This window comes from Homo sapiens, chromosome 6, assembly GCF_000001405.40.
Source record: "Homo sapiens chromosome 6, GRCh38.p14 Primary Assembly".
Classification (NCBI taxonomy): domain Eukaryota; kingdom Metazoa; phylum Chordata; class Mammalia; order Primates; family Hominidae; genus Homo; species Homo sapiens.
In genome coordinates this window covers 167,060,181-167,077,940 of record NC_000006.12, presented here as the reverse complement: position 1 = coordinate 167,077,940, position 17,760 = coordinate 167,060,181, and positions in this window count along the sequence as shown.

Here is a 17,760-nt window from a genome sequence, read left to right as displayed (position 1 = left end):
CCTATGCAAAAAAAAAATATTACAGATGAGGAAAGTGGAATTGAGAGAGGAAAGAAAACATACCCAGAGTCACAGGCCTGTAAGCAATGAAACTAGGGTCAGAGCTCAGGCCTATGTTCTGCTCTTGGTAAACAGAGAAGCTGTGACCTATGGATCTGTCTCTACACCTGCGCCCTATGTCTGGAACATACACCATTGAGAATTGCTGGCTCTGTGTGGCGGCCCCACAGACAATTGTTAACAGCCTTACGCATTGCTGAGGACTGACGGACCTTGGCAAGAACTCGGTCCTCTTAACATCCTCGACAGCTTGGGAATCGCAGAGGTGAGCAGAAAATAATAAAGTCTGAGAACCCACTATGTATTAGATATGGTTTTCCCATTTAAAACTCACAGCCTTTATGCAAGCTAGGTGTTATCTCCATTTACCGATGCGAAACTGAGACTCGGAGAGAGTGGAAATGGTTTGACCCTAACACAATCCGTGCACTTCAGAATTAGATTTCAACACAAAATTGGCCTGTTATGTACTGACCCTCTTTCCCCACATGACGGTACGAGTTATAGGACTGGATTCCAGGAAGGGCAAGCCATTCTGGAGGTCACTGGAAAGGTCAGATGCTGAACAGCTGCACCGTGAGGAATGAGGCTATGGGGCACTAGGGGGAAGCGTCAAAAGGGGACTCAGGAAGCTGATCTGCTTCGTAATTACATCTCCCAGGCCAGGTGCTTTGTCTCCAACTCACATCTGACTTAGTCACCACATTGTCCAGGTTATTTTAAGGAAAAATCAGAAACTGAACCGATTTTTTTTGCCAAACTGCTGAGGCTTTGTTATAAAGAAAAAACCAATGTAACCACCTGCTGGCTGTTCCCCCAAATCCATTCTCCCCTTCTTTCTGGAGAGCTGGAGAATGAATTTTCAAAAATTGACACATCAACTTGATTTCTATAATGGTTATGTTTAATTAAGATCCAAGGATTTACTATTTTAGTTTAGACAAGATCTATCCAAAATTTTAAGGACTCTGGTAACTAAGATTTATAAAATACAAGTCTAAAGTATTCCACTCTAAAGAGTTTAGCAGATAAAAACACTATAGGTAAATTTCCAGGAGAAAGAAGATGAGAAAATAGGTCTTAATTCCGAGTCACCAAGTTTCACCACCCCTTTAGTACTGCCTCAAAATCTTGACAAAATTAGGGGTTGCCTCACCTTCCTGGACAAAGTCTAACTTAGATTTATTTCCTTGCAATGAGGCAAGTTTCAGGACACTCAGAGGCAGAGTCCAGCCCAACAATCTTGCTCTGCCTTTGTCCCATAAGGTACAGTTTTCACTGGGGTGCAGATAGCATCTGCTTTGCTTCCAGCCCCCTGTTGAAAGTGGAACCTTTTCCCTGTTTCAATAGCCCAACTCAAAACACTTCACCCCACCCCACTCGCTGGCATGAGCCCACCTGGTTTCAGGGACAGACACTGGGAGATGCTCTGATCATGGCTGGGGTCTGTGGACTGTCCAGGTGACTCCTTCAGAAAGGGGAGGTTTTCTGATGTCTTTGAACAAGTTCTACTGGGCAGAAATGGTGAACTAATGTTGCCATTTAAATATAACTCTCTGCTACTTTTGGATAAACGTTCGATGGAACACTAAATCATTCTTCTCATGTCATTTGAAGCAAAAAAAGGAAGGAAGGAAAGAAGGAAAGGGGAGGGAGGGAGAGAGGATGGAAGGAAGGAAGGAAGGAAAGGGGGAGGGAGGGAGAGAGGAAGGAAGGAAGTGAGGGAGGGAGGGAGAGAGGAAGGAAGGGAGTAAGGAAGGAAGGAAGGAGGGAGGGAGGAAGGGAGGATGGAAGGAAAGAAGGAAGGAAGGAAGGAAGGAAGGAAGACAGGGAGACAGGTAGATCCCTTTTCTCTAACAGAAAAAAATACCTAGCAAGTATGTTTCTAAAAACATGAGATGGTCGGGTGCAGTGGCTCATGCCTGTAATCTCAGCACTTTGGGAGGCCAAGACGGGCGGATCACCTGAGGTCAGGAGTTCGAGACCAGCCTGGCCAAGATGGGGAAACTCCGTCCTCACAAAAAAATAAAAATAAGCTGGGCGTGGTGACTTGTGCTTGTAATCCCAGCTACTCAGGAGGCTAAGGCAGGAGAATCACTCAAACCTGGGAGGTGGAGGTTGCAGTGAGCTGAGATCACGCCACTGCACTCCAGCCTAGGCATCAAGCAAGACTCCATCTCAAAAAGGAAAAAAAAAAACCAAAAACCATGAACTGATTGAACTGATTAAATAGGTATGATTTCCCATTTTTAGATAATGAAACTGAGAGATTAAATAACTGTCTCAGAGTTTAACCAGAGAAGCAAAACCAGTAGAAAATCTATTCGGAAGGTAAGTTTGTTTTCTCTCCATTTGATGCTGGTGCTTCAGGTTGGCAGGGCAGGCAGTCAGGAACGAAAATGGATGTCGAGTGGGAAAGAAGGGAGCAAACTGGATGTAAAGCATGAGAACCAGCTGGACCCTGAGTCAGCTCTAGTTTCCTCTGACCCAGGTGACAGAGAATCTTTGTCACAGAGCTAAACACTAGCTGAATACACTGAGTGAACAGTGTGAGAAATTGGAGGGGGATCAAGGTTGTCTGGAATCCTAAGGCCAAGGATTTCTACATAGAAAATCACCAAGTCTGTGAGTAGGAACAGTTTTGTATCTTCTTTCAAATCTGTAAGCTTTTCTTTCTTTTTTTTATTGCACAGGGTATCACTTCCAGTACAATATTGAGCAGGAGTGATGAGAATGGACAGCTTTGGAAGGAAAGCATTCATTCCTCCACCATCATGTTAGCTGTAGGTTTTTTGTGGACATCCTCTATCAGGTTGAGTAAATTCCCTTCTATTCCTAGTTTGTTGAGAATTTTATCATGAATGGCTGTTTAATTTTATCAAATGAATGATTTTTCTACATAAATTGGCATGATAAGGTGGTGTTTCTTTAGAATGTTAACATATTGGATGGCATTGTCTTTCAAATATTGAGCCACCCTAGCACTCCCCCAGAAAAACTCAATGTAGTCACCATGTATTATTAATTTTACCTATTGCTGGATTTCATTTGCTAATATTTTTCCACATTTTTGTATCTGTGTTTATGAGGGACATGGGTGTTGGGGGGTTATTTTAGTGCACTGTCCGTCTGGTTTGGTGTCTGTTGAGAAGTGCTCCCTCTTCCTCATTTCTGCAAGACTTCGTGAAGGATTTCTATTATTTCTTCTTTAAATGATTGGTAGAGTTAATCAGTAAAATCATCTGGATCTAGAGTTTCCTTATTTGAAAGATTTTGCTGTTAAACAAATTTAATTTCTCTAATAGACGTAGGACCATTTAGGATACCTATTCCTTCTTGAGTAAATTTTGGTAATTTGTATCTATCAAGGAATTTAGACATTTTTCCCAAGTCATCAATTTCATGTGTAAAGAGTTTTCATGGTATGCCTTTATGAGCCTTTTTATGGGGTCTATCGTGAGATTTGGTATTTTATTCATTTTATTAGCAATTTCTGTCTTCTCTCATTTTCCTTTGTCTTGCTAGAGCTTAATGAATTTTACTGATATTTTCAAAGAATGAGATTTTGGTTTCACTGATTCTATTGTTTTTCTATTTTTAACTTCATTGATTTTGGTTTTTATCATTTTTGCATTTATTTTCCTCTTCTTTTTGAATAAGATTCTATTTAAATCCCTTCTTTTCTAATATAAGCACTGAATGCTTTATGTTTTCTGCTAAGTACTGCTTTAGTGTATCCCATGTGTTTTGATATATTTTCATTTTCATTCAGTTCAGAATACTTTCCAACATCTGTTGAGACTTCCTCTTTTACCCAAGGACTATGTAATGTACAGTTTAATTTCTAAGTGTTTAAAGATGCTCTTGTGATAGCTCAAGAATAGTATCTTGTCAGCATTTGAGAAAGCCAGCACACTAAACATACCTACAACCAAGGACTCTCACACAGTCTGCTTCACTCCCCTGCCACCTCCACCAGAGCAGGTGCTGTATTCATGGCTGGGGGACCTGAAGATGGATTGCATCACAGGACTCTTTGCAGACACCAGCCCAAAGCCCAGTAGACCTGCTGGGTAACTAGACCCAGAAAAGCAACAACAATTATTGCAATCTGGTTCACAGGAAGCCCTATCCCTAGGGTGAGGGGGAGTGCACCACATCAAAGGATCATCCTGTGGAACAAAAGAATCTGAACAGCAGCCCTTGACTTCCAGATTTTTCCACTGAAATAGTCTATCCAAATGAGAAGGAATCAAAAAAGTAATTCTGGTAATATGACAAAACAAGGTTCTATAACACCCCAAAAAGACCACACTAGCTCCCCAGCAATGGATCAAACCAAGAAAAAAAAATCTCCGAATTGTCAGATGAAGAATTCAGAAGGTTGATTATTAAGCTACTCAAGGAGGTACTAGAGAAAGGTAAAAACCAACTTAAAGAAATTTAAAAAATAATACAAGATTGGGAGAAAAAAATGCTCCAGAGAAATAGGTATCATAAAGAGAAAATAATCACAACTTTTGGAAATGAAAGACACACTTAGAGAAATACAAAGTGCACTGGAAAGTTTCAACAATAGAATCAAACAAGTAGAAAAAAGAAACTCAAGGCTCGAAAACAAGGCTTTTAAATTAACCCAATCCAACAAAGAAAAATAAAAAATAACTTTAAAAAATTAACAAAGCCCCCAAGAAATTTGAGATTATGGTAAATGAAAAATCTAAGAATAATTGGTGTTCCCAAGGAAGAAGAGAAGTCTAAAAGTCTGGAAAACATATCTGAGATAATAATTGAGGAAAACTTCCCCAGCCTCAATAGATACCTAGAAATCCAAATACAAGAAGCTCAAAAGACACCTGGGAAATTCATTGCAAAATGATTATAACCCAGGCACTTAGTCATCATAGGTTATCTAAAGTCAAGATAAAGGAAAGAATCTTAAGAGCTGTGAGGCAAAAGCATCAGATAATGTATAAAGGAAAACCCATCATTAACAGCAGATTTCTTAGCAGAAACCCTATAAGCCAAAAGGGATTGGGGTCCTATCTTTAGCCTCCCTAAACAAAATAATTTCTAGTCAAGAATTTTATATGCAGAAAAACTAAGCTTCAAAAATGAAGAAGAAAGAAAGTCTATTTCAGACAAATGCTTAGATAATTCACCACTACCAAGCCAGCACTATAAGACATGCTAAAAGGAGTTCTAAATCTTGAAACAAAACCTCAAAACACACCAAAATAGAACCTCCTAAAAGCATAAATCTTACAGGAACTAAACAATAACACAACGAGCAACAACAACAACAAAAACCAAGGTATTCAGACAACAACTAGCACAATGAATAAAACAACACCTTACAGCTCAATAATAACATTAAATGTAAACAGCCTAAATGCTCCACTTAAAAGGTACAGAATGGCAGAATGGATAAAAATCCACCAACCAAGTATCTGCTGTTTTCAAGAGACTCACCTAACACATAAGGACTCATATAAACTTATGATAAAGGGGTGGAAAAACATATTCCATGCAAATGGTCACCAAAAGTAAGCAGAAGTACCTATTCTTATATCAGACAAAACAGACTTTAAAGCAACAACAGTTAAAAAAGACAAAGAGGGACATTATATAATGATAAAATTACTGGTCCAAGAGGAAAATATCACAATCCTAAATATATATGCACATAATACTGGAGCTGCCAAAATTATAAAACAATTATTACTAGACATAAGAAATGAGATAGATGGCAACACAGTAACAGTGGGGGACTTCAATATTCCACTGATAGCACTAGACAGGTCATCAAGACAGAAAGGCAACAAAGAAACAATGGACTTAAACTGTACTCTAAAACAAATGGACTTAACAGATATTTACAGAACATTCTACCCAACAACTGTAGAATATACATTCTTTTCATCAGCACATGGAATATTCTTCAAGATAGACCATATGATAGGCCACAAAACAAGTCTCAGTAAATTAAAGAAAATTGAAATTATATCAAGTACCCTGTCAGGCTACAGCAGAATAAAATTGGAAATTAGCTCCAAAAGGAACCCTCAAAACCAGGCAAATACATGGAAATTAAATGATCTGTTCCTGAATAATCTTTGAGTCAACAGTGAAATCAAGATGTAAATTAAAAATTTTTTTGAACTGAACGATAATTATGACACAACTTATCAAAACCTCTGGGACACTACAAAAGTGGTGCTAAGAGGAAAGTTCACAGTATTAAATGCCTACATCAAAAACTATGAAAGAGTACAAATAGACAATCTAAGGTTACATCTCAAGGAACTAGAGAAACAAGAACAAACCAAACCCAAACCCAGCAGAAGAAAAGAAATAACAAAGATCAGAGCAGAACTAAATAAAATTGAAACAAAAAAAAATACAAAAGCTAAATGAAACAAGAAGCTGGTTCTTTGAAAAAATAAAACAAAATTGATAGACCATTAGTAAGATTAACCAAGAAAAGATGAGAGAAGATCAATTAGAACTGAAATAGCTGAATTAGAGCTGAAATGGGAGCTACTGCAACCAATACCACAGAAATACAGAAAAATCATTGAAGGCTACTATAAACACCTTCATGTGCACAAACTAGAAAATCTAGAGGAGATGTATAAATTCCTGGAAATATACAACTCACATAGATCAAGCCAGGAAGAAACAGAAACTCTGAACAGACCAATAACAGGCAGTGAGATTGAAATAGTAATAAAAAATTGCCAACAAAAAAAGTCCAGGACCAGATGGATTCACAGCTGAATTCTATCAGGCATTCAAAGAAGAATTGGTACCAACCTTACTGAAACTATTCCAAAAGATAAAGAAAGAGGGAATTCTCCCTAAATCATTCTATGAAGCCACTAAAACCCTATCACCCTAATACAAAAACCAGGAGAAAACATAACAAAAAAAAGAAAACTACAAACCAATATCCCTGATGAACATAGATGCAAAAACCCTCAACAAAATACTAGCTAACTGAATACAATAGCATATAAAAAAGATAATACATCATGATCAAGTGGGTTTCATACCAGGAGTGCAGAGATGGTTTAACATATGCAAGTCAATAAATGTGATGCATCACATAAACAGAATAAATTAAAAACAAAAGTCATATCATCATCTCAATAGATGCAAAAAAAGCATTTGACAAAATCCAACATGTAGATGTAGAGATGGTGAAACCCCATCTCTACAAAAAAAAAAAAATTAGCTGGGCGTGGTGGCGCACGCCTGTAGTCCCCGCTACCCAGGAGGCTGAGGCAGGAGAATCGCTTGAACCCAGGAGGCGGAGGTTGCAGTGAACCGAGATAGCACCACTGCACTGAAGCCTGGTGACAGAGCGAGACTCCGTCTAAAAAAAAAAAAAAGCAGGGCCAGGTGTGGTGGCTCATGCCTGTAATCCCAGCACTTACTTTGAGAGGCCGAGGCAGGCGGATCACGAGGTAAGGTGATGGAGACCATCCTAGCTAACACAGTGAAACCCCGTCTCTACTAAAAATACAAAAAAATAAACAAAAAACAAAAAACAAAAGAACAACAACAACAAAAACCCTCAGCAGAATCAGCATAGAAGGGACATACCTCAAGGTAATAAAAGACATCTATGACAGACCCACAGCCAACATTATATCGAATGAAGAAAAGTTGAAAGCATTACCCATGAGAACTGGAACAAGACAAGGATGCCCACTTCTACCACTTCTATTCAACATAGTACTGGAAGTCCTAGCTAGAGCAACCAGACAAGAGAAAGAAATCAAGGGCATCTAAATCAGTAAAGAGAAAGTCAAGCTGTCACTGTTTGCCAATGATATGATTATATACTTAGAAAACACTAAAGACTCACCAAAAAGCTCCTAGAGCTAATAAATGAATTCAGTAAAGTTTCAGGATACAAAATCAATGTATCAGTGTACATAAATTAGTAGCACTGCTATACACCAACAATGACCAAGGTGAGCATCAAATCAAGAACTGAACCCTTTTGACAACAGCTGCCAAAAAAAAAAAAAAAGAAAGAAAGAAAGAAATACTTAGGAATATACCTAACCAAGGAGGTGAAAGATCTCTACAAGGAAAACTACAAAACACTGCTGAAAGAAATCATAGACAACACATGCAAATGGAAATACATCCTATGCTTATGGATAAGTAGAATCAATATTGTGAAAATGACCATATTGCCAAAAGCAATCTATAAATTCAATCCAATTCCCATCAAAATACTATCATTATTTTTCACAGAACTAGAAAAAAACATTCTAAAATTCATATGAAACCAAAAAAGAACCACATAGCCAAAGCAGGGCTAAACAAAAAGAACAAATCTGGAGGCATCACATTACCTCACTTCAAACTATACTACAAGGCCATAGTTAATAAAATATACTGGTATAAAAATAGGCATGTAGACCAATGGCAAAGAATAGATAACCCAGAAATAAAGACAAATAATAGAGAACCCAGAATTACAGCCAACTGATCTCCAGCAAAGCAAACAAAAACATAAAGTGGAAAAAGGACACCTATTCAACAAACGGTGTTGGAATAATTGGCAAGCCATGTGTAGAAGAATGATGCTAGATCCTCACCTCTCACCTTATACAAAAACCAACTCAACATGGATCAAAGACTTAAATCTAAGACCTAAAAATAAGAATAAAAATTCTAGAAGATAACATCAGAAAAACTCTCCTAGATATTGGCTTAGGCAAAAAGTTTATGACCAAGAACCCAAAAGCAAATGCAACAAAAACAAAACTAAATAATTGGGACCTAATTAAACTAAGAAGCTTCTACACAGCAAAAGAAATAATCAGCAGAGTAAACAAACAACCCACAGAGTGGGAGAAAATATTCACAAACTATGCATCTGACAAAGAACTAATATCCAAAATCTACAAGGAACTCAAACAAATCAGAAGAAAAACATAATAATCCCATCAAGAAATGGGCAAAGGACTGAAATAGATAATTCTCAAAAGAAGATACACAAATGGTTACAAATGGCTAACAAACATATGAAAAAATGCTCAACATCACTGTCAGGGAAATGCAAATCAAAACCACATGAGATACCACCTTACTCCTGCAAGTGTGGCCATACCTTAAAAATCAAAAAATAATATTATATATGTTGGTGGGAATGTGGTGAAAAGGGAACACTTTTACTGCTGGTGGGAATGTAAACTAGTACAACCACTATGGAAAACAGTATGGAGATTCCTTAAAGAACTAAAAGTAGAACTACTGTTTGATCCAGCAATCCCACTACTGGGTATCTACCCAGAGGAAAAGAAGTTATTATATGAAAAAGACACTTGCACACACATGTTTACAGCAGCACAATTCACAATTGCAAAAATATACACCAGTCTAAATGCCCATCAACCAACAAGTGGATAAAGAAAATGTGGTATATATTTACCACGGAATACCACTTAGCCATAAAAAGGAACAAAATAATGGCATTTTTGGTAACCTGGATGGAGTTGGAGACCATTATTCTAAGTGAACTAACTCAGGAATGGGAAACCAAACATTATATGTTCTCACTTATAAGCAGGAACTAAGCTATAAAGACGCAAAGGAATAAAATGATATAATGGACTTTGGGGACTTAGGGGAAAGGGTGGGAGAGGCTGAAGGATAACAGACTACACACTGGGTACAGTGTACATTGCTTGGATGATGGGTGCACCTTAATGTCAGAAATCATGACTAAATAACTTTTCCATGCAACCAAATACCACCTGTTCCCCCAAAACTATTAAAATAAAAAAATTTTTAAAGAATATTATCTTGTGATAATATTAAAATATTTAGTTATTTTCTGATTTAAAATTATGTGGGCAGAAACATACTTCATATTTTTCAGTTCTTTTAAATTGGTTAAGTGTCTTTTAATAACGTAAGATGTGCTCTGTGTATGTGACTATTCCATGTGCACCTGAAAAGCACGTTTATTCTGCTGTTGTTGGGTGAAGTGGTCCACAATTGTCAATATGGTCCAGCTGAATGGTGATGCTGTTTGCCTCTTCTTTATCCTTGCTGATTGTCTGCTTATGGTTCTATCAATTACTAAGCCAGGCATGTTGAAATATTCAACTATTATTGTGAATTCGTTCTTTACCTTCAATTTTGTCAGTTTTTCTTTTGTGCAATTTGAAGTTCTGTTGTTAGGTGTCTTCTTGGTGAACTGACACTTCTGTCATTAGGTAATGTCCCTTGTAATCCCTGGTAATTGTCTTTGCTCTGAAATCTATTTTGTCTGATACTAATCACCCAGCTTTCTTTTGATTTGTGTTTACACAGTATATCTTTTTCATCCTTTATTTTTTGCTTTTTTTTCTTTTTAGGGTTAGGTTTAACAACTTTATTGAGATATAATTTGTATACCATACAATTTCTTGGTCTTTTAAGTTGTCTTTCCACTTAAACTATACAATTCAGTGGGTTTTTTTGTTGTTGTTGTTTTGTTTTGTTTTTTGAGATGGAGTCTCGCCCTCTCACCCAGGCTGGAGTGCAATGGCACAATCTCAGCTCACTGCAACCTCAGCTTCCTGGGTTCATGCTATTATCCTGTCTCAGCCTCCCGAGTAGCTGGGATTACAGGTGCCTGCCACCACAGCACAGTAGCTCATGCCTGTGATCCTAGCACTTTGGGAGGCCGAGGCAGGTGGATCACTTGAGGTCAGGAGTTCGAGACCAGCCTGACCAACATATTGAAACCCTGTCTCTACTACAAATTCAGTGGGTTTTTAGGATATTCAGAGTTGTACAACCATCACCACAGTCAACTTTAGGACATTTTCATCTCAAAAAGAAACATCATACCCTTTAGCACTCATCAGCTCATCCTCACCCCCACCATTCCTAAGCAGCAATCACTAACCTACTTCCTGTCTCTATAGATTTACCTATTCTGGACTCTCATAGGAATGGATATATACATGTGGGCTTTGAGTTCCATCCAAGTTGTAGCATGTATCAGTAACTTATTCTTTTTTCTGGCCAAATAATGGATATACCACTTTTTTCATGCTTCATTTATAAACATTTGGGCTGTGTCCACCTTTGGCTATTATGAATAATGCTGCTATAAACATCCGTGCAGCAGTTATTTTGTGGTCATGCTATTTGTAAATGGAAAAAACACAAACTGTTTATTTTCTATATTCTCACAGCATAACTGCAATCAACACAGAAGACTTCTGTGACCAAATGTTGGAGGGTTTTCTCCACACACCAAGCAAGCAATCAGTTCTGCAGTGGGCTGGTGTCCTCCAATTCAATTCTGACTCTTCCTGGAGGTAGTGTCAGATCCCAAAGGTTGAGGGCTGAGTCCCAGAAAACTGTCACCACCTTCAGGCACCAGTCGCAGGTCTGGGCCTCTGGAACTTCTGACCAACCAGCTTTAAGTTGAGGTTCCCATGACCCTCTCTTTAAATTAGATAAATTGGCTAGAACAGCTCACAGGAGTCAGGGAAACACTTACTTACATTTACCAGTTTATTATAAAGGATATTACAAAAGACACAGATAAAGAGATGTATAGGTTGAGGTATGAGGAATGGGCTCAGAGCTTGCATGTCCTCCCCAGGTGCTCCACTCTTTAGGAACCTCCACATGCTAAGTGATTCAGAAGCTGTCCAAACCCTGTCCTTTTGTGTTTTTATGGAGGCTTCATTATGTAGACATTTTATTAAACTGTTGGCCACCGATGATCAACTTAACCTTCAGCCCCTCTCCCCTCCCTGGAGCTAGGAGTGAGCTGAAAGTTTCGACCTCCTAATTTTGCCTTGGTCTTTCTGTTAACCAGCCCCCATCCTGAAGCTACCTAGGAGAAGCCAACCATCAGCCAATCATTAGCATACAAAAAGACATCACTTTGGAGATACTAAGGATTTCAGAAGTTGTATGCCAGGAAATTGGATCAAATACCAAATGTATATTTCACAATATCACAATTTGTCTTCACAATTTGTCTTGGATATATAGCTATGAGTGGAATTACTTGGTCGTATGGTAACTCTATGTTTAATCATTTAAGGAACTGCTAAACTGTTTTCCAAAGTAGCTATGATATTTTTCATTCTCAGCAGCAGTGTAGGAGGGTTCTGATTTCTCCATATCCTTATCAGCATTTGTGATTATCTGACCTTTTCATTCTAGCCATCCTAGTGGATAGGAAGTTGTATTTGGTTGATTTGCATTTCCCTAATATTCAAGCATCTTTTCAAGTGCTTGTCGTCCATTTGTTTATCTTCTTTAGAGAAATCTATTCAGATATTTGCCCATTTTTCAACTGGATTATTTAGGGTTTATTATTATTGAGTTGCAAGAGTTGTTTATGTATTCTAGATGCATGTACCTTATTTGATTTACAAATATTCTCTACCATTCTTTGGGTTGTTCTTTTCATGTTTTTTCTTGATGTCCTTTGGGTCACAAAGATTTTAATTTTAATGAAGTCAAATTTATTTTTCTTTTGTTCCTCATGCTTTTGGTATCATATCTAAAAATCCTTTGCGAAATCCAAAGTCATAAAGATTTCTCTGTATGGTTTGTGATGGTTAATATTGAGTGTCAACTTGATTGGATTGAAGGATGCAAAGTATTGTTCTTGGGTGTGTCTGTGAGGGTGTTGCCAAAGGGGATTAACATTTGAGTCAGTGGATTGGGAAAGGCAGACCCACCCTCAATCTGAATGGGCACCATCTAATCTAAACACTGAGCTGTCAATATGGCACCATTCCTTGGGATGATCAGCCAGCTGGTTGGTGGCAGGTTGATTATACTGGCCATTTCCATCATGGAAAGGACAGCACTTTGTCCTCATCAGAATAGACACTTACCCTGGATACGGGTTTGCTTATCCTGCACACAATGCTTCTGCCAAAACTACCAACTGTGAACTCACAAAATGCTTTATTCACTGTGATGGTATTCCACACAGCATTGCACTCACTTTACAGCTAAAGAAGTGTGACAGTGGGCTCATGCTCATGGAATTCACTGGTCTTACCATGTTCCCCCTCATACTGAAGCAGCTGGATTAATAGAACAGTGGAATGGCCTTTTGAAGTCACAATTACAATGCCAACTAGGTGACAACAGTTTGCAGGGCCAGGACAAAGTTCTCCAGAAGGCTGTGTATGCTCTGAATCAGCATCCAATATATGGTACTGTTTCTCCCATAGCTGCAATTCACAAGTCTAGGAATCAAGGAGTGGAAGTGGAAGTGGCACCACTCACCATCACCCCTAGTGATCCACTAGCAAAATTTTTGCTTCCTGTTCCCACAGCATTACATCCTGCTGGCCTAGGAGTCTTAGTTCCACAAGAAGGAACACTGCCACCAGGAGACATAACAACAATTCCATTAAACTGGAAGTTAAGATTGCCACCTGGACACTTTGGGCTACTCCTACCTTTAAGTCAACAGGCTAAGAGAAGGGAGTTACAGTGTTGGCTGGGGTGACTGACTCGAACTATCAAGATGAAATTAGTCTACTATTAATTTCACTACTAATTTCACTCCACCGTGGAGGTAACGAAGAGTATGTGTGGAATACAGGAGATCCACTAGGGCATCTCTTAGTATTACCATGCCCTATGATTAAGGTCAATGGGAAACTACAACAGCCCAATCCAGGCAGGACTATAAATGGCTCAGACTCTTCAGGAATGAAGGTTTGGGTCACTCCACCAGGAAAAAAACCACGACCTCCTGAGGTGCTTGCTGAAGGCAAAGGGAATACAAAATGGGTAGTAGAAGAAGGTAGTCATCAATACCAGCTATGACCACATGACCAGCTGCAAAAACAAGGACTGTAATTGTCATGAGTATTTCCTCCTTCGTTAAGAACACGTTTGTGCATGTATACACTTGTACTAAGAAAATATCTTCATTGGCCGGGCGCGGTGACTCACGCCTGTATTCCCAGCACTTTGGGAGGCTGAGGCGGGTGGATCACGAGGTCAGGAGATCGAGACCATCCTGGCTAACATGGTGAAACCCTGTCTCTACTAAAAATATAAAAAAACTAGCCAGGTGTGGTGGTGGGTGCCTGTAGTCCCAGCTACTGGGGAGGCTGAGGCAGGAGAATGGCGTTAACCCGGGACGCAGAGCTTGCAGTGAGCCGAGATCGCGCCACTGCACTCCAGCCTGGGTGACAGAGCAAGACTCCATCTCAAAAAAAAAAAAAAAAAAAAAGAAAATATCTTCATTTTATTTCCTTTTTCCTTTAGTGACATAAGATTTATTGACTTCATATCAACATTTAAATGTTGTTAACTTTATGTAATAGCATTTGAATTGGGGATTGGTGTGTTTCTGGTTGTATGAAGGATGGTTGTATTATGTTAGGCATAATTATTATTACCTTATTATTGTCTTTATTTGCAGATTATGTATGATTTCAGGAGATGTGTATGGGTTCAAGTTGACAAGGGGTGGACTTGTGATGATTAATACTGAGTGTCAACTTGATTGGATTGAAGGAGGCAAAGTATTGTTCCTGGGTGTGTCTGTGAGCCTGTTGCCAAAGGAGATTAACATTTGAATCAGTTAATCAGTGAATCAGTGGGTCTGGGAAAGGCAGACCCACCCTCAATCTGGGTGGGCACAATCTAATCAGCTGCCAGCTCAGCCAGAATAAAAGCAGACAGAAGAATGTGAAAAAACTAGACTAGCTTACCCTCTGAGCCTACATCTTTCTTCCATGCTGGATACTCCCTGCTCTCAAACATCGGACTCCAAGTTCTTCAGCTTTGGGACTGGGATTGGCTTCCTTGCTCCTCGGTTTGCAGATGGGCTATTGTGGGACCTCACCTTGTAATTGTGTGAGTTAATGCTCCTTAATAAACTCCCCTTTACATCTACATCCATCCTATTAATTCTGTCCCTCTAGGGAACCCTAACTAATAGATTTCTTCTAAGAGTTTTAGTTTTTTTGTTTTACATTTAGATCTTTGATCTATTTTGAGTTAATTTTTTATACAGTGTGAGGTAAGGATCAAGCTTCATTCTTTGGATGTGACTATCCATTCCACCTAGTATAATTTGTTGAAAAGACTATTCTTTCCCCATTGAACGGTCCTGGAGCCTTTTTCAAAACTCAGTTGACCACAGATGTATGGATATACTTCCAGACTCTCAATTCCATTCCATTGATTTGTATTTCTATCTTTATGCCAGTACCACACTGTCTTGATTGATTGCTATCGCATTGTAGTAAATTTTTAAATCAGGAAGTATGAGTCCTAGTTTATTCTTCATTTTTAAGATTGTTTTGGCTATTGTGGATTCCCTGCAATTCTATATGAATTTCGAATCAGTTTGTCGATGTCTGCAAAAAATCTCTGTGATTCTGATAGGGATTGCTTTTAACCTGTGTAACGATTTGGGGAGTATTGTCATTTTAACAGTGTTATGTATTCTAATCCATGAATATGAAATATATTTCCTTTTGTTTAGATCTTTGATTTTTTCATTATGTTTTATAGTTCCAGAGTATAGTAAGTTTTGCAATTTTTATGTTAAATTTATTCTTAAGAATTTATTTTTGATGCTATCATAAACAAATATTTTTAATTACATTTTCAGATTGTTCATTGCAAATATGTAAAAATACACAATTGATTTTTGTATATTAATCTCATATCCTGCACCCGTGCTGAGCTTGTTAGTGCCAATAGTTTTTTTAAAGTGAATTCCTTAGACTATTATATATACAAGATCATAACATCTACAGTTTTATTTCTTTCTTTCCAAACTGATGGCTTTTTCTTTTTATTTTTGCCTAATTGCCCTGGCTAGAACTTCTAGAACAATGTTGTATATAAGTGAAGAGAGCGATCATCCTTGTCTTATTTCTCATCTTGAGGGAAAGCATCCATGTTTTCACAATTAAGGATAATAGTAGCAGTGAGTTTTTTATAGTTACCTTTTATCAGGTTGAGGAAGTTTTCTTCTATTCCTAGTTTCTTGAGTATTTATATTATGACAGAGTGTGGATTTTTCCAAATGTATTTTCTGCATCTTTTGAAATGATCATGTAATTTTTGTATTTATTCTGTTGTTATTATGCATTACATTAATTGATTTTTCAAATGTTGAATCAACTGTGCATTCCTGGGATAAAAATTCCACTTGGTCATGGTGGATATTTCCTTTTATATGCTGTTGGATTTGGTTTGCTAGTATTTGTTCATGATGTCTGCATCTATTCATAAGATATATTCATCTTTAGTTTTTATTTCTTATGAGGTTTTTGTCTGGTTTTGGTATCAGGGCAACTAGCCTCATAAAATGAATTGTAAAGTATTCCCTCCTCTTTTTTAAGAGAATTTGTAAAGAATTGGTGTTCATTTAAAAAAAAAAAAATTTAGTAGAATTCCGTGGTGAAACCACTTGATACAGGGCTTTACTTTGTGGGTAGATTTTTTGCTTAGCTATTCAATCTTGATTATTATAATTCTTTTTAGACTTTTGATATTTTCTTAAATCAGTTTTGGTAGTTTATATCTTTCTAGAAATCTTCCCACTTTATCTAAGTTATTTCATTGTTGATGTACAATTGCTGTCATATTCTTCCTTTACAACCCTTTGTATTTCTGTCAAGGTCAGAAATAATGTCTTCTCTTATTTCTGATGCTAGGAATGTGAATCTTCTCTTTTTCATGGCCAGTCTAGCTATAGGATTGTCAGTTTTGTTGGATTTTTTTCAAAGAACCAGTTTTTTAATTTTATTGATTTCCTCTATTGTCTTTCTATTCTCTATTTCATTATTTTTCATTTTAATCTTTATTTTCTTCATTTTGCTTGCTTTAGATTTAGTTTGCTCTTCTTTCCCCAGTGTCTTTAAGTGGAATATTAGCTTATTGATTTATTTTTTTCCTTCTTGATATAAGCATTTACAGCTATAAATTGTCCTCTAAGCCCTCATCTGCTTTCACTGGATTCCATAAGGTTGGTGTGTTTTATCTTCATTTTCATACATCTCCAAGTATTTTCTGATTTCCCTTTTGAGTTCTCCTTTGATCCATTGGTTATTTAGGAGTGTGTCTTTACATTTCTATATATTTGTGAGTTTCCCAGATTTTTTCCTGTTATTAATTTCCTATTTTATTCCAAAGTGACTGGAGAACATACTTTGTGTTATTTCTGTCCTTTTAAATATATTCAAGTTTGATTTTGGCCTAACATATAATCTATCCTGGAGAAGGTTTCGTGTATATATATAGAAAAATGAATATTTTGTTTTTGGCTAACGTGCTCTATAGATGTCTGTTAGCATTGATGTATTTGCCTTCAGGTTTACCATTTTGTTATTTGTTTTGTTTTATCTTCTGTTTTTCATTCTTGTTTTCTCTTTCCTACCTTCTTTCCAATTATACAAACATTTTGTAGCATACTATACTTATCTGTTGTATATTTAACTATGTATTTTTTCATAGTTTTAAAAGTGTTTACTCAAGGAATTACATTACACAGTTAACAAAATTTTCACAGTCTACTTAGAATCAATATTTTACCACTTCAAGTTAAATGGAGAAAGCTAAGCATCATATGGGTACCTTTATCTCTCATTGTTTTTACTTCTAACATGTATGACACCAATATGTGGGCTTTTTCTACACCAGTGAACAATATTTCAACTCTTCTGA